The 16,704-nt window shown below is 45.9% G+C and overlaps 1 protein-coding gene across 1 annotated transcript in view; it reads left to right on the top strand.

The window, feature by feature from the left end:
- The window catches only part of DHRSX (dehydrogenase/reductase X-linked), a 281,471-nt gene that overhangs the window by 180,412 nt on the left and 84,355 nt on the right, over positions 1-16,704 (top strand). The window lies entirely within an intron of this gene.

The following is a 16,704-nucleotide window of genomic DNA, read 5'->3' as shown; positions in this document are numbered from 1 at the left end:
CAGCACTTTGGGAAGCCAAGGTGGGCAGATCACTTGAGGTCAGGAGTTGGAGACCAACCTGGCCAACATGGCGAAACCCCGCCTCCACTAAAAATACAAAAAGTTAGCCAGGTGTAGTGGTGCGTGTCTGTAATCCCAGCTACTCAGGAGGATTAGGGAGGAGAATCTCTTGAACCTGGGAGGTGGAGGTTGCAGTGAGCTGAGATCACCCCACTGCAGTCCAGCCTGGGTGACAGAGCAAGATCCCATCTCAAAAAAAAAAAAAAGAAAAGAAAAGTCCACATAGGGAAATATGTGAAGCTCTTTGGGTCATATGATCGCTACCACAACAGCGCAATATGTAAATGAATGGGCAAGTTCTGTGTTCTAAGAATCTTGAGGGACACTGAGATGTAAATGTATATATTTATCACGTGGCACAAAATACAGTTGACCCGGCCGGGCACAGTGGCTCACAACTGTCATCCCAGCACTTTGGGAGGCCGAGGCGGGTGGATCACCTGAGGTCGGGAGTTCAAGACCAGCCTGACCAACATGGTGAAACCCGTCTCTACTAAAAATACAAAAAATTAGCTGGGAATGGTGGTGCGTGCCTGTAATCCCAGCTACTCATGACGCTGAGGCAGGAGAATCGCTTGAATTCGGGAGGTGGAGATTGCAGTGAGCTGAGATCACGCCATCGCACTCCAGCCTGGGCAACAAGAGGGAAACTCCACCTCGAAAAAATATGTATATACAGCTGACCCTTGAACAACACGGGGGTTAGGGGTACTGACCTCTATGCAGTTGAAAATCTATGTATAGGTTCTGACTCCCCCAAAAGTTAAATACTGGTAGTGTACTCTTGACCGGAAGCTTTATTCATAACATAGAGTCGATTAGTACATAGTTTGTATGTTATGTATATTATAAAGTCAGCTAGAAAAAAAATGCTAAGGAAGAGAAGAGAAAATATTTTACTACTTACTAAATGGAAGTAGATCATCATAAAGGTCTTCGTTCTCTTTTTTTTTTTTTTTTTTGAGATGGAGTCTCACTCTGTCACCGAGGCTGGAGTGCAGTGGCACGATCTCGGCTCACTGCAACCTCCGTCTCCTGGGTTCAAGCACTTCTTCTGCCTCAGCCTCCCAAGTAACTGGGATTACAGGCACACGCCACCACACCTGGCTAATTTTTGTATTTTTAGTAGAGACGGGGTTTCACCATATTGGCCAGGCTGGTCTTCAACTCCTGACCTCGTGATCTACCCGCCTCGGCCTCCCAAACTGCTGGGATTATAGGCGTGAGTCACTGCACTCTGCAGGAGTAGGGAGAGGAGGGGGAGGGGAGGAGGAGAAGGGAGGGGGGGAGGAGGGGGGACGAAGAGGGAGGAGGAGTCATCTCGGGTGAAAGTCCAAATGGGTGAATCTGCTCAGTTCAGATGTATGTTGTCCAACAGTCAACTGTGTTATCCTTCTTTTGATTTTTTTTAACCCACTGTTTAAAAGATGTGGAAATAGTTTTTTGGTTTACAAGGTGCACAAAAATAGGCAAGGGGCTGGATTTTGCTAGAGGGCTGCAGTTGACCAACCCCGGGTTAGACCATTACCATTGTCAGTGGGCACACAAAGTAATGAAATTATTATAGAAAACATGAGGCGTTGTTTACTGGAAAGGGGTCTTGATCCTGACCCCAAGAGAGGGTTCTTGGATCTTGTGCAAGAAAGAATTTGGGGTGAGTCCATAGAGTAAAGTGAAAGCAAGTTGATTAAGAAAGTAAAGGAATAAAGAGTGGCCACTCCATTGGCAGAGCAGCACCGAGGGCTGCCAGTTGGTGATTTTTATGGTTATTTCTTGATTCTGTGCGAAACAAGGGAAAGATTATTCGTGAGTTTTCTGGGAAGCCGGTGGGCGGTTCTGGGAACTGAGGGTTCCTCCCCTTTTTAGACCCTATAGGGTAACTTCCTGACATTGCCATGACATCTGTAAACTGCCATGAGGCTGATGGAAGTGTCTTTTAGCAGCGAATGCATTAGAGTTAGCGTATAATGAACAGTGAGGAAGACCAGAGGTCAGTCTCGTCGCCATCTTGGTTTGCATGGGGTTTGGCCAGCTTCTTTACCACAACCTGTTTTATCAACAAGGTCCTTAGGACCTGTATCTTAATGCCGACCTCCTCTCATGCCAGTGGTCATGTGCATTCATCTGGCTGGAAGGGTATCTTTTTTTTTTTTTGAGATTGGGTTGTCACTGTGTTGCCCAGGCTGGAGTGCAGTGGCACAGCCTTGACCTTCTCAGCTCAAGTGATCCTCCCACCTCAGCCTCCCAAGTAGCTGGGACTACAGGCATGCACCACCATCACCACACCCAGCTGCTTTTTTTTTTTTTTTTTTCTGTATTTTTGGTAGACACGAGGTTTCACCATGTTGCCCAGGCTGGTCTCGAACTGCTAGGCTCAAGCAATCCTCCTGCCTCAGCCTCCCAAAGCTCTGGTATTACAGGCATGAGCCACTGCACCTGGCCTTCAGGACTATCTTCAGACACTTGTTGTAGCCTCTTCATTTCTGCACATCCCTCCCCAGCGGAGATGCTCTCACAAATTGCTCATAAGGAAATTTCTTGTGGGCTCCAAAATCTTTCCCCTAAAACAGAGTTCTGTTGAATTTCTCCCTGACAATGTAAATTAACAACTTGTCTTCACAAGTGTGGGACAAAGATAAGACTAGAAATGATCTCTCCGCCCACCCTGAGACAAATGCATGTTTGACATCTTCCTCTTCTGTATGTTGACTTTGTCTTATGCAAAAGTGGATTTACTGTGCATGAAATGAACGCGTGATTGACTGTTCCTCTACCCGCACTTTGCCATGTAAAATGTGTATTCAGAGAGTGCCAATCAAAGACTCACAAGAATGTAATCATTTGCCTCTTTTATCTACTCTCCTTCTTTTTTTTTTCTTTCCTCTTTCCCTCCTGCCTGCTTTTTTCCCTTTCTATACCAAAGCCCTCAAAACCATCCTTGGAAAAAGCACAGGGCCGCACGCAGTGGCTCACGCCTGTAATCCCAGCACTTTGGGAGGCCGAGGCAGGTGGATCACCTGAGGTCAGGAGTTCAAGACCAGCCTGCCAACATGGCAAAACCCCGTCTGTACTGAAAAATAAAAAAAATAGCAGGGCGTGGCGTTGCATGCCTGTAATCCCAGCTACTTGGGACAGTGAGGCAGAAGAATCATCTGAGCCCGGGAGGTGGAGGCTGCAGTGAGCTGAGACTGCGCCACTGCACTCTAGCCTGGGCCACACAGCAAGACTCTGTCTCAAAAAAAAAAAAAGCCAGGCGCGGTGGCTCACGCCTGTAATCCCAGCACTTTGGGAAGCCGAGGCGGGTGGATCACCTGAGGTCAGGAGTTTGAGACCAGCCTGACAAACGTGGTGAAAGCCCATCTCTAGTAAAAATACAAAAATTAGCCGGGCGTGGTGACGTGCACTTGTAATCCCAGCTACTCAGGAAGCTGAGGCAGGAGAATCACTTGAACCCGGGAGGCGAAGGGTGCAGTGAGCCGAGATGGCGCCATTGCACTCCAGCCTGGGCGACAGAGGGAGACTCCGTCTCAAAAAGAAAAGAAAAAGCACGGAGCACAGGTCCTATGGTGACTGGCGTCTGTTTTTCCTGGACTGGGGCACATTCTCAACCGTGGCAAAATTAACCTCTAAACTAATGGAGGCTTGCCTCACTCATCTTCTTTGATTCAAAACTTTGAGTTAATCCATTTATGCCTGAAGTTGCAAGTTTTTGAATTTTTGCCATCAGATCTTGGCGATGACCTTGAGCAGTAGGATATAAATAACTCCACATGCTTAGCATTCCAATAATGGAACACTAGGCATACGTGGGTTTAATCAAAGGAGAGATCATCTGTGCTGGACCTGCCTCAAAGAGGGTGAGATGAATGAGTAATTCTTCTTCTTCAAATAAACTTGAGATGGTCTCAGAGATCCTTTTCCTGGTTTTTGTTGTTATTATTGTTGTTGTTTTTGAGGCAGAGTCTTGCTCTATCACCCAGGCTGGAGTGCAGTGGTGCAATCTCGGCTCACTGCAACCTCCACCTCCCAGGTTCAAGCGATTCTCCTGCCCCAGCCTCCCAAGTAGCTGGGATTACAGGCGCCCACTACCATGCCTGGCTAATTTTTGTATTTTTCGTAGAGACAGGGTTTCACCCTTTTGGCCAGGCTGGTCTCGAACTCCTGAGCTCAGGTGATCTTCCCCACCTCAGCCTATCACAGTGCTGGAATTACAGGCGTGAGCCACCGCAGCCGGCCCTTTTTGCTGGTTTTGAAGAAGCAGACTCCCATATGACAAGTTGCTGAGGGTGTCACAGCAAGCAGAGAGCCACCATTGTCTGACAGCCAAAATGAAAATGAGACTTGGCCGGGCGCGGTGGCTCACGCCTGTTATCCCAGCACTTTTGGAGGCCAAGGCCGGTGGATCACCTGAGATCAGGAGTTTGAGACCACTCTTTCCAACAAGGAGAAAACCCGTCTCTACTAAAAAGACAAAAATTAGCTGGGTGTGGTGGCAGGCACCTGTAATCCCAGCTACTGGGGAGGCTGAGGCAAGAGAATCACTTGATCTTGGGAGGCGGAGGTTGCAGTGAGCTGAGATCGCGAAACTGCACTCCAGCCTAGGCAACAGAGTGAGACTCTGTCTCAAAGAAAAGAGAGAAAATGTGACTCAATCTCACAACCACAAGAAGCTGAATTTTGCCTCCCAATTCAGCATGCCTGGAAGAGCATCCTAAGCTACAGATGTCATCTCAGCTTTGTCTGACACCTTAATTCCAGCCTTGTGAGACTCTAAATGGAGACATCCTGTTAATCTAAACCCAATCTTCTGACTTACAGAACTGTGAGATCATAAAGGGGTGTTGTTTTTTAAACTACTACGTTTGGGGCGTTTTGTTACGCAGCAGAGCTAGCTAAGATGGATGGCTCCTTAAGCAGCTCATTTGAGGGCAGAGGGAGGCAACTTCTGCAGACAGATGGGCATCTATATTCGCTAGGTTCAAGCTGTTAATGCTGCTATGTATACCCAAATGACCTCACTACCTTCTCACCAGGCAGCAAGAAACAGGATCCTCAGACGAACAGAAGTCCAACACCTTAGTCTAAGTCTGTTTATGTTCTCCTGATAGGAAATCTTTTCATCTCATAAAAAGCTGCTGATGTAGGCCTTTCTCACCCTGTACCCCACGTTACTGATGCCTGTTTTGTTGCCAAACTGGACTGGTGTCCACTTGCCTGGTGCACTTAGGTCAAACCTCCACAATGAGGCTTTGCAGCAAGAGAAAGGATAGTGTTTATTTGGACAGCACCAAGCCAGGAGACTCAGGCAGCTCACGCTTAAGACCTAACGTTTTTTTTTTTTTTATTGAAACGGAGTTTCACTCTTGCTGCCCAGGCTGGAGTGCTATGGCGTGATCTCAGCTCACCGCAACCTCCACCTCCCGGGTTCAGGCAATTCTCCTGCCTCAGCCTGCTGAGTGGCTGGGATTACAGGCATGCGCCACCACGCCTGGCTAGTTTTGTACTTTTAGTAGAGACAGCATTTCTCCATGTTGGTCAGGCTGGTCTCTTAACTCCCGACCTCAGGTGATTCCCTCGCTTTGGCATCCCAAGGTGCTGAGATTGCAGGCGTGAGCCACCGCACCTGGCCTAAGACCCAATCTTTTCAATGACTTCCGAGCCATAGTGTTTCAAGTCGGGTAAATTTCAGGACAGAAGCTGCTCCAGGCAAAATCATGAGGACGAAGTTCTGATTTTTTTATCTTGCCCAAATTCCTATCTAAAGGGTCTAGGGAGTCATTCTTTACAAACCATGAGTTCTCATTAGATGGGTTTTATTTAACCCTATATATCGTAACTTACTTTCCAATGTGACTCTGGCATAACATAATGAGACAAGGAAAAACAATGTATTTAACCCCAAAATATATTTCCTTGCCATACCTTGAAATTGCCCTGAGAAGTCTCTTGTGGGAAAAATCCACATTCTATAGAGAATAGCCTTTCCTCCCTCCCTCCCTTACCTCCTTTACCTCCCTTCCTTCCTTCCTTCCTTCTCCCCTTCCTTCCTCCCTTCTCCCCTTCCTTCCTCCCTTCTCCCCTTCCTTCCTTCCCTCCCTTCTTTCCCTTCCTTCCTTCCCTCCATTCCTTTCCCTCTCTCCCTTCTTTCCCTCCCTCCCTCCTTTCCCTCCCTCCCTCCTTCCCTCCCTGCCTCCCTCCTTCCCTCCCTCATTCCCTCCTTCCCTCCCTCATTCCCTCCTTCATTCCCTCCTTCCCTCCCTTCCTTCCCTCCCTCCCTTCCTTCCCTCCTTCCCTCCCTCTCTTCCTTCCCTCCTTCCCTCCTTCCTTCCGTCCCTCCCTTTGTTCCTTTGTTCCTTCCCAGATCTGGGACATAATCAACTGAGAGCCAGGCCCCCTTTTAGGTCTGATAAGAAACATTTTACAACCTGTTCTCTCTGAAGTCTGCTATCTGAGAGCTTCCTGTGCAAAATAAAACTTGGTTCCCACAATCCTTTATCTCCACCTGGACATTTCCTTTCTGTTGATTCCAGGTCTTCAGATAAACTCAACCAGTTGTCAACCAGAAAATATTTAAACTTACCTATAGCCTGGCAGCCCCCAGGTTGAGTTGTCCCACCTTTCTGAACCAAACCAATGTATTTCTGAAATGTATTTGATTGATGTCTCATGCCTTCCTAAAATATATAAAATCAAGCTGCACCCCGACCACCTGGGGTACATGTTCTCGGGATCTCCTGAGGGCTGTGTCACGGGCCGTGGTCACTCATATTTCGCTCAGAATAAATCTCTTCAAATATTTTACAGAGTTTGACTCTTTTCATCAACAATTATAAATCACGGCTGGGCGTCGTGGCTCATGCCTGTAATTCTAGCACTTTGGGAGGCCGAGGTGGGCAGATCACGAGGTCATGAGATCGAGACCATCCTGGCCAACATGGTGAAACCCTGTCTCTACTAAAAATACAAAAATTAGCTGGGCATGGTGGCGCTTGCCTGTAGTCCCAGCTATTTGGGAGGCTGAGGCAGGAGAATCGCTTGAACCTGGGAGGCGGAGGTTGCAGTGAGCCGAGATGGCACCACTGCACTCCAGCCTGGGCGACAGAGCGAGACTACATCTCAAAAATAATAAGTAAAAAAAAAATCATAAATCAATACATGGAAGCTATACGTTGGTTTGGCCTAAAAAGGGATATCTTGGGCCAGGTACGGTGGCTCATGCCTGTAATCCCAGCACATTTGTAGGCTGAGGCAGGCAGATCACCTGAGGTCTACTAGTAGTTCAAGACCAGCCTGGCCAACATGGTGAAACCCCGTCTTGACTAAAAATACAAAAAATTACCCAGGTGTGGTGGCAAGTGCCTGTAATTCCAGCTACTTGGGAGGCTGAGGCAAGAGAATCGCTTGAACCTGGGAGGCAGAGGTTGCAGCGAGCCAAGATCATGCCACTGCACTCCAGCCTGGGCAACAAGAGCGAAACTCCATCTCAAAAAAAAAAAAATATATATCTTGAAGCTGGGCCCGAGGGTGGGGTTGCTTACAGGAACAAGGTGGATTCAAAGACTTTTGGACTTGCAATTGGTTAAGGAAGTGGAGCTTTGTCTAAGACTTGCGGTCAGCAGTAAAAGCACATTGGATCTGGCCCATGGGCAGGACCTCCTCCAGGACCCTCAGGAAGAAATTTAAAACAAGGAACAGGGATCAGAGTTCAGTCCCTAGCTCTCCCACGTCTGAGGTCTTCATGCCAGAGGATTCCATAGGGTAGAGGTGTGAGTTTCTTTTATTTTTTTTAATTATACTTTAACTTCTGGGGTACATGTGCAGAATATGCAGGTTTGTTACTAGGTATACACGTGCCATGGTAGTTTGCTGCCATCCATCATCTACATTAGGTATTTGTCCTAATGCTCTCCCTCCCCTAGTCCCCCAGTCCCCGAAAGACCCCTGTGTGTGATGTTCCCCTCCCTGTGTCCATGTGTTCTCATTGTTCAACTCCCCCTTATGAGTGAAAACATGCAGTGTTTGGTTTTCTGTTCCTGTGATAGTTTCCTGAGAATGATGGTTTCCAGCTTCATCCATGTCCCTGCAAAGGACATGAACTCATCCTTTTTTATGGCTGCATAGTATTCCATGGTGTCTACGTGCCACATTTTCTTTATTAGTTGCTCTAGGGAAGCGAACATCCCTGACTCTAATTTCCTTGGTTGTTATTTTAAGCTACTGTGACTTTCTTCTTCATCAAGTTGCTCATTAACTTCTCCCAGCCAGCGAAGTGCCTGGAGTTTCCTTCCTGGAAGGAACTCAAGATTTCTCTTGATTTCCATGCTTGGTCGGGGGTGGAGAGAGTTTCCTGGTTTGCCCCTAAGAGGGGTCCCTGCCAGGTCTCAGTTCCTCAAGCTTTCTCTTTAGCACCTTTAGCAGACAGATACTATCACAGCTTACAGTGCTTGCAGCATGGGTGGTGGCGTGGGGATTTTGATGCCGTTGGATTTTCCCCACTTTTTCCATTTTGTGCCCAGAAGCATTACTCTTGAAGCATTTAAATTTGAACACAGTGGGAAACAGCTTCTTAGGAATTAAGTTTTAACTGGTTTCCAGTGTATCTAAACAGCAGACAGGTAGACCCTTGGTAACTTCTTTTTGATGTATAAACAACTCAGACCATTAAATCGACGCTCATTAGCAACCTATGCTGCTCATCCAAGCTACCCTGAAGTTTACTTTTAGCCCAGTCCTGTGGGTGGATAATGGTTTCAACGCATTCCCAGGAGGACGATTTACCTCCTTGGAGACAGAATTGTTCTTGAAAGCTCTTCACAAGTCCGCGTTTCCACGGCAACATCAAGATTGACTTCTCGCCCTTGGGTAGTGCCTTGTCTTCGAAAGCCTTTCTTTCCTCTTTACTTACACAAGCTCTTTGGGGCATCTGCTCTTTGCCTCGCGGGTGGGTCAATGGTGCTTTCATTTTAATCTTCTTTTCTAGACTAGACCTGGGAGTCAGAGGACAACTTTAATTATCTGAACACTTTACCATTCTGACAACAATATTTACAGAGTTTATCCTGAAGGTGGTTTCTGAGGACAGCTGTGTATCCGAGGAGCATTGTTTTAACTTGAGTTCTCTCGTAGTGATGTATCTCAAGTGCTCAAGAGGGAGAGGAGGGCCATCGTAGTAAACACAATGAAAACAAAGGCGTCACCCACTTATTTATCCCACCATGCCAGGCAGCTCTCTCCCCATCTCTCTCTTTCTCTCTCTGTATGTCTCTCTCTCTTTCTCTCCCTCTCTGTGTCACAACCTCTGTCTCTCTCATTCTATTCCTCTCTGTCCCTCTCTGTCACTTTCTCTGTGTCTCTCCTCTTTCTCTCTCTCTGTCTCTCGCTTATTCTCTCTGTCTCTCAGTTTCTGTGTCTCTCTCCTTCTGTCTCTCTTTTTTTTTTTTTTTGACACAGAGTGTTGTTCTTCTCATTCAGTCTGGGGTGCAATGGAGTGATCTCGGCTCACTACAACCTCCGCCTCCCGGATTCAAGCGATTCTCCTGCCTCAGCCTCCCGAGTAGCTGGGATTACAGGTGCCCGCCACCACGCTCAGCTAGTTTTTATATTTTTAGTAGAGACGGGGTTTCACCATGTTGGCCAGGCTGGTCTCGAACTCCTGACATCAGGCGATCCACCCGCCTCGGCCTCCCAAACTATTGGGATTACAGGTGTGAGCCTGTATCTGTCTCTCTGTGTCTCTCTGGCACACTCTCTGTCTCTTTCAAGCTCTCTTTCTGTGCTTCTATTTCTGTGTCACAATCTTTCTCTCTGTCTCTTTCCTCCCTCTGTCTCTCTCTTTCTCTCCCATTCTCACCCTCTCTTTCTCCATAACTTTCTCTGTGTTTTGTTCTTTTTTCTTCCTCTCTCTTGCTTATTTTCTCTCTCTCTCCCTCTCTCTCTCTCTCTCACACACACACACACACATATACACACACACACAGAATAATCTCGCTGCAGCGTCTTTCACAGTAGGTCTTAGGGGCAGATGGATAGCTGCCTCATACAAAGAAAATAGGATTTCAGGTCTCCAGAGAGGCGCTCCATACCTGCATAACGACTAAGAGATACTGGTATTTCACCTTTATTTTTAAATTGATAAATATATAGAAATGAGAGACGCAGGGGGTGACAACCAATCTGCCCTCCTTCTTGGCAAATTCCGGCAGTTCGGGCACCTGGGTTCCTTCCCTCCTGAATGAAGAGAGGCCAGAAGCCATCATGAGCTTCGTCCCTGCTCAAGACTTTGCAGGCTGTGGTCGCATCAGCTCTTGGCTCCAAGAACTGGGCTTTTTGGGTAGCAGGACGGCTGTTGCTACCCACAAGTGCGGGAAGAACTGTCCTCTGGCTGCCTGGATCCCGGAGGTTCTGGCTTACCAAGACACTCGTGAATTTATTAGGATGCGTAGGGACGGGGCAGGTGCAGACGGATTCAGGGGCTGTGTTGGCTGTTGGTAGATGCTTGAAAGCTGTTGCTGCTCTGAGCTGAACGCCTTCTCCACAAGCGCTGCCTCCTGGTCTAAATGATGGGTTTTTATTTTATATTATTTTGAGACAGGGTCTTGCTCTGTTTTCTAAGCTGGAGTGCAGAGGTGCAGAGGCATAATCATAGCTCACTGCAGCCTCAACCTCCTATGCTCAAGCAGTCCTGCCACCTCAGCCTCCCACGTAGCTGGGATTGCAGACATGCACCACCACACTCAGATAATTTTTTATGACTTCCTTTTGTAGAGGTAGGGTCTTGCTATGTTGCCCAGGCTGCTCTTGAACTGGCCTCAAGCAATCCTCCCACCTCGGCCTCTCAAAATGCTACAGTGACAGGGTGAGCCACCACACCTGGCCATGATGATTTTCAAATTAGCCCAGTTGGGTTACAAGGTTGACTAAGATCTGATTTTCAGGTAGTGGTTATGGACACACTTATCACATTTATTCTAGGAGCTCTTTAATAATATTTCAGAATGGACAGCATTTCTGGAAATTTTTTTCTTAGTATTAAATACATTTGCTTTTGTATGTCTCAGTGGAAGACTTCTTTAAGTTTACATTTTTATGATTTTTTTCTTCTGTATATATAAATGTTACTCATCAAGCAATTCCTGCCCTCCTAGCAAATTTCTTCTGCTATGCTTTTTTCAGAATTTCTATCAGAACAGCATAAATTTCACAAAACAAACCACCTCAGACTCTTTTTGTCCAACCAGTCAGTATCAGGGCACTTATCTGTTCTTTGAAAGTCTAGAAGAATTTTCTAAAATACCCTCTGCACTCATCTACCCTTTCTTCATGCCATTCTTTCATTATTCTTCTCTATTTTTCTTATAGCTATTGGTCTGATTAGACCTAATTTCCTTGATTGAATTGGGATAATTAGTATCTCTGAGAAAATTATTTCCTCGAGATTTTCACATTTTACTTACAAATGTAACATATTATCAGGATACTAAGAAACAGAAACCTATCATTTTAAAGCTTTTTTCATACAGTACAGTGTTTCCTATTTGTAAGTTTGCATTTCCTGCCTCATTAAATATATTATTGACAGTATTTTCTGGGACCTTGTTTCTCCTTCTTCCTTCCTTCCCCGTTTCCACCCATCCTTTCCTCCTTCCCTTTCTTCCCTCCTTTCTCCCTCCCTCCCTTTCTTTCTTCCCTCCTTCCATTCATTCTTGCTTCCCTCCCCTCCCCTCCCCTTCCCTCTTTCCACCCATCCTTTCCTCCTTCCCCCACAATGTTGATTTTGTTCATTTCTCCCTGCCTACCTAGGAATTCTTGAAAAATATACTTGGATATTGTGTTATTCTGAAGAAAATGCTGTGAAAATGGCACATTATAGCTTCATCTCAATTCAGCATTTGGTTTATGATTTTCAAGTTAGCCCTGTTGGGTTACAAGGTTGGTTACACAGATCCAAACCATGCCTTCATAGGCGATGATCCTCCTTGTTCCATTAACGTTTTAGACTTCAATCATTGCTGTCTTGTGTGACTAGGGCCATTTCTACTTGGTTTTTGCTTGTTTGGCTGATAAATGTGAACGTTTTAACAATTGTTGAACAATTGTTAAAACAATTGTCGAACAATTGTCGAACAGTTGTTTTAACAATTGTAATTCCTCCTTTTTAATACTCTGTATCTTTACCATCAAGATACAGACATCACCTTTTTCACAGGCTCTGAGTGTAGGAGGCCACCATTTTGGCTTTATATCATGACCAGTAACTGGGAGCGCCCTCGTTGGCTGAAGCTGTACTTCCTGCTTCTTTTCTGTTCTTGCCACATGGATAACTGGTATACTCCATCTTATTCCATGAGCTACGTGGCAGACACTCATTTTGTAGCTCCTAGGAGTGCGTTAAATACTCCCAAACACTCTAACTTTCATTTCTCTAAATTATCTAAATAGAATGAAGGTATCGTTGAAGGTACTCCAGGTGGAATGAAAAAACCTATCTCAAGTCTTCCGGAGATCCTCCTGTGTTCGGTTCCCTGGTCCCTCTCATGGTGCCCTGGGAAAGGGACGCAGCTCCTACATGGGTTAGGTTCCAGGTGAACGCAGCCACTGAGCTCCTAGCAAGTACGATTTCCTGTGTCCTATGCGCAGATCACCCTGGTGTCTTGGTCCAGTGGGCTTGAAGCCTCATACTCTTTTGTTTTTCCTTGTTTTTTATTTTATTTTTTTTATTTTTATTACTTTTTTTTTTTTTTGAGAGGGAGTCTTGCTCTGTCGCCCAGGCTGGAGTGCAGTGGCACAATCTCGGCTCACTGCAAGCTCCGCCTCCCAGGTTCATGCCATTCTCCTGCCTCAGCCTCCTGAGTAGCTGGGACTACAGGCGCCCGCCACCACGCCTGGCTAATTTTTTGTAGTTTTAGTAGAGACAGGGTTTCACCATGTTAGCCAGGATGGTCTCGATCTCCTGACCCCTCGTGATCCACCCGCCTCGGCCTCCCAAAGTGCTGGGATTACAGGCGTGAGCCACCCACCCCCCGGCCTTGTTTGTTTTCTTTTAAAAAAAATTTCATGAGGTACACGTGCAGCTTTGTTGTAAGATACATTGTGTAGTGCTGCGGTTCACGCTTCAGTTGAACCTGTCACTCAAACGGTGAACAAAATACCTCATAGGTAGAGTTTTAGCCTTTACACCCCTCTCCCTCCCCTGCTCTTGGAATGCGCAGGTGTGCCAGCTTCCCATTTTTATGCCTGATTATTCAATGTTTAGCTCCTATGTATAATTGAGAACAAGTGGTATTTAATTTTCCGTTTCTGTGTTAATTCACTTAGGATAATGGCCTCCAGCTGCATCTGTGTTGCTGCTAAAAACATGATTTCATTCTTTTTTATGGCTCTATACTATTCTACGGTATATATGCAGCAACTACATTTTCTTCATCCAACACATAATTGATGGACACCTGGGCTGATTCCCTCATGCCTCCCAAGATTGAATCAGGAAGAAATCAGATCCAGAACAGACTCATTTCATGACAAGTTATGAAATTGAATCAGTAATTTACAAAAACCTATCAATCAAAAAAAAAAAAAAAAGCCCCAAGACCAGACAAATTCACAGCTGAATTCGACCAGATGTACAAAGAAGAGCTGGTTCCAATCTGACTGAAACGATTCTAAAAAATTGAGGCGGAGGGATTCCTCCCTAACTTATTCTACAAAACCTGTATCATCTTGATACCAAAATCTGACAAGGACACGACAAAAATAGAAAACTACAGGCCAATATCCCAGATGAAGATAGACGCACAAATGCTCAACCACATACTAGCAAACAGAATCCAGCAGTGCGTCAAAAAGATGACTGATCATCGAAACCTTGTCTCTACTACAAATACAAAAATTAGCCAGGCGTGGTGGTGCGCGTCTGTAATCCCAGCTACTTGGGAGGCTGAATCGCTTGAACCTGGCGGGTGGAGGTTGCAGTGAGCCAAGATCGCACCACTGCGCTCCAGCCTGGGCAACAGAGCAAGACTCTGCCTCAAAAAAAAAAAAAAAAGATAATTGATCGCAATCTTAATTGTGGGCTTCATTCCTGCTCTGCTCTTTGTCCAAAGAGATTTTTCTGAATGTCAGGGGTGAAGTTCAAGTTCTAGCACCCAGTGAGCATTCTGCCTTCCCCTGCTGCAGGGCTTGATGTATCGGCTCATCTTCCCCTAGTGATGCCAGCCATACCCTGTTCCCCTTACCCTTCCTACCAGTGTTTCTCTTGGTGCGAGGTAGCTCCTGAATGGATGCAAAAAAAAAAAGATGCTGATTGCAAGAATGAGCAAAGCCCGTTGGTTGCCTGTATTACTCCGTTCTCACACTGCTCTGAAGAAATACCTGAGACTGGGTAATTTTTAAAAATTTTAAGTTCCGGGTACATATGCAGGATTGTACATAGATAAACATGTGCCGTGGTGGTTTGCTGCACCTATCAACCCATCACTTAAGTATTAAAGCCCAGCATGAGTTAGCTATTCTTTTTATTATTGTACTTTAAGTTCTGGGGTACATGTGCAGAACATGCAGGTTTGTTATATAGGTATAGACGTGCCATGGTGGTTTGCTGCACCCATCAACTCGTTATCTACATTAGGTATTTCTTTTAAAGCTATCTCTCCCCTTGCCCCCCACCCCCCAACAGGCCCCAGTGTGTGATGTTCCCCTCCCTGTGTCCCTGTGTTCTCATTGCTCAACTCCCACTTAAGAGTGAGAACATGTGGTGTTTAGTTTTCTGTTCTTGTGTTAGTTTGCTGAGAATGATGGTTTCCAGATTCATCCGTGTCCCTGCAAAGCACATGAACTCATCCTTTTTAATGTCTGCATAGTAGTCCATGGTGTCTATGTGCCACATTTTCTTTATTCAGTCTATCAATGACGGGCATTTGCGTTGGTTCCAAGTCTTTAATATTGTGAACAGTGCTGCAGTAAACACACATGTGCATGTGTCTTTATAGTAGGATGATTTATAATCCTTTGGGTATATACCCAGTCATGGGATTGCTGGGTCAAATGGTATTTCTGGTTCTAGATCCTTGAGGAATCGCCACAGTGTCTTCCACAATGGTTGAACTAACTTCCACTCTCACCAACAGTGTAAAAGCATTCCTGTTTCTCCACATCCTCTCCAGCATCTGTTGTTTCCTGATTTTTTAATGATCGCCCTTCTAACTGATGTGAGGTGGTATCTCATTGTGGTTTTGATTTGTACTTCACTACTGAGCAGGCATTAGCTATTTTTCCTGATGCTCTCCCCCTCCCTGACCCCCACCCACAACACGCCCCAGTGTGTGTTGTTCCCCTCCCTGTATCCATGTGTTCTCATTGTTAAGCACCCACTTATGAGTGAGAGTGTACAGTGTTTGGTTTTCTGTTCCTGCATTAGTTTGCCAAGAATAATGGCTTCTAGCTCCATCCATGTCCCTGCAAAGGACATGATCTCGTTCCTTTTTATGGCTGCATAGTATTCCACGGTGTATATGTACCATTTTTTTTAATCCAGTCTATCATTCTTGGGCATTTGAGTTGATTCCACATCCTTGCTATTGTGAATAGTGCTGCAATGAACATATGTGTGCCTGTATCTTTATAATAGAATGATTTCTATTTATTTGGATATATACCTAGTAATGGGATTGCTGGGTCAAATGGTGTTTCTGGTTCTAGGTCTTTGAGGAATTGCTACACTGAGACTGGGTAATTTATAAAGAAAAGAAGTTTAATTGGCTCATGGATCTGCAGGCTGTACGGGAAGCAGAGCAGCTTCTGCTTCTAGGGAGGCATGAGGAAATGCATAATCATAGTGGAAAGTGAAGGAAAGCAGGTGTCTTACATGGCCCTAGCAAGAGAAGGAGAGACAGAGGTGCAGTTGGGGTGGGCTGGGGAGATGCTACACACTTTTCAACAACCAGATGCCACGAGAACTCATTCACTATTGCAAGCACAGCACCCAGGGGATGGCACTAAACTATTCCTGAGACATCCACCCCCGTGACCCAATCTCCCCCTACAAGGGTCCACCTCCAGCACTGGGGATTCCAATTCAACTTGAGATTTGAATGAGGACACAGATCCAAACCATATCACTACCCATCTATCAATTCATCCATCCATCTATCCATCCATCCATCCATCCATCAGTTCATCCATCCATCCATCCATCCATTCATCCATCCATCCATCCACCCACCCACCCACCCATCCATCCACCCACCCACCCATCCATCCATCCATTTATCCATCCATCCATCCATCCATCCATCCATCCATCCATTTATCCATCCATCCATCCATCCATCCATCCATCAGTTCATCCATCCATCCATCCATCCATCCATTCATCCATCCATCCATTTATCCATCCATCCATCTATCCATCCATCAATCCACCCACCCACCCATCCATCCATCCACCCATCCATCCATCCATCCATCCATCCATCCATCCATCCATCAGTTCATCCATCCGTCCATCCATCAATTCATCCATCCATCCACTCACCCATCCTCTCATGTATCCATCCATCAATCCATCGATCCACCCACCCACCCATCCATCCATCCATCCATCCATCCATTTATCCATCCATCCATCCATCCACCCATCCACCCATCCAC

This window comes from Homo sapiens, chromosome Y, assembly GCF_000001405.40.
Source record: "Homo sapiens chromosome Y, GRCh38.p14 Primary Assembly".
NCBI lineage: Eukaryota > Metazoa > Chordata > Mammalia > Primates > Hominidae > Homo > Homo sapiens.
Note: the sequence above shows the minus strand (reverse complement) of the source record. Positions and strands in the feature narration are given on the sequence as shown.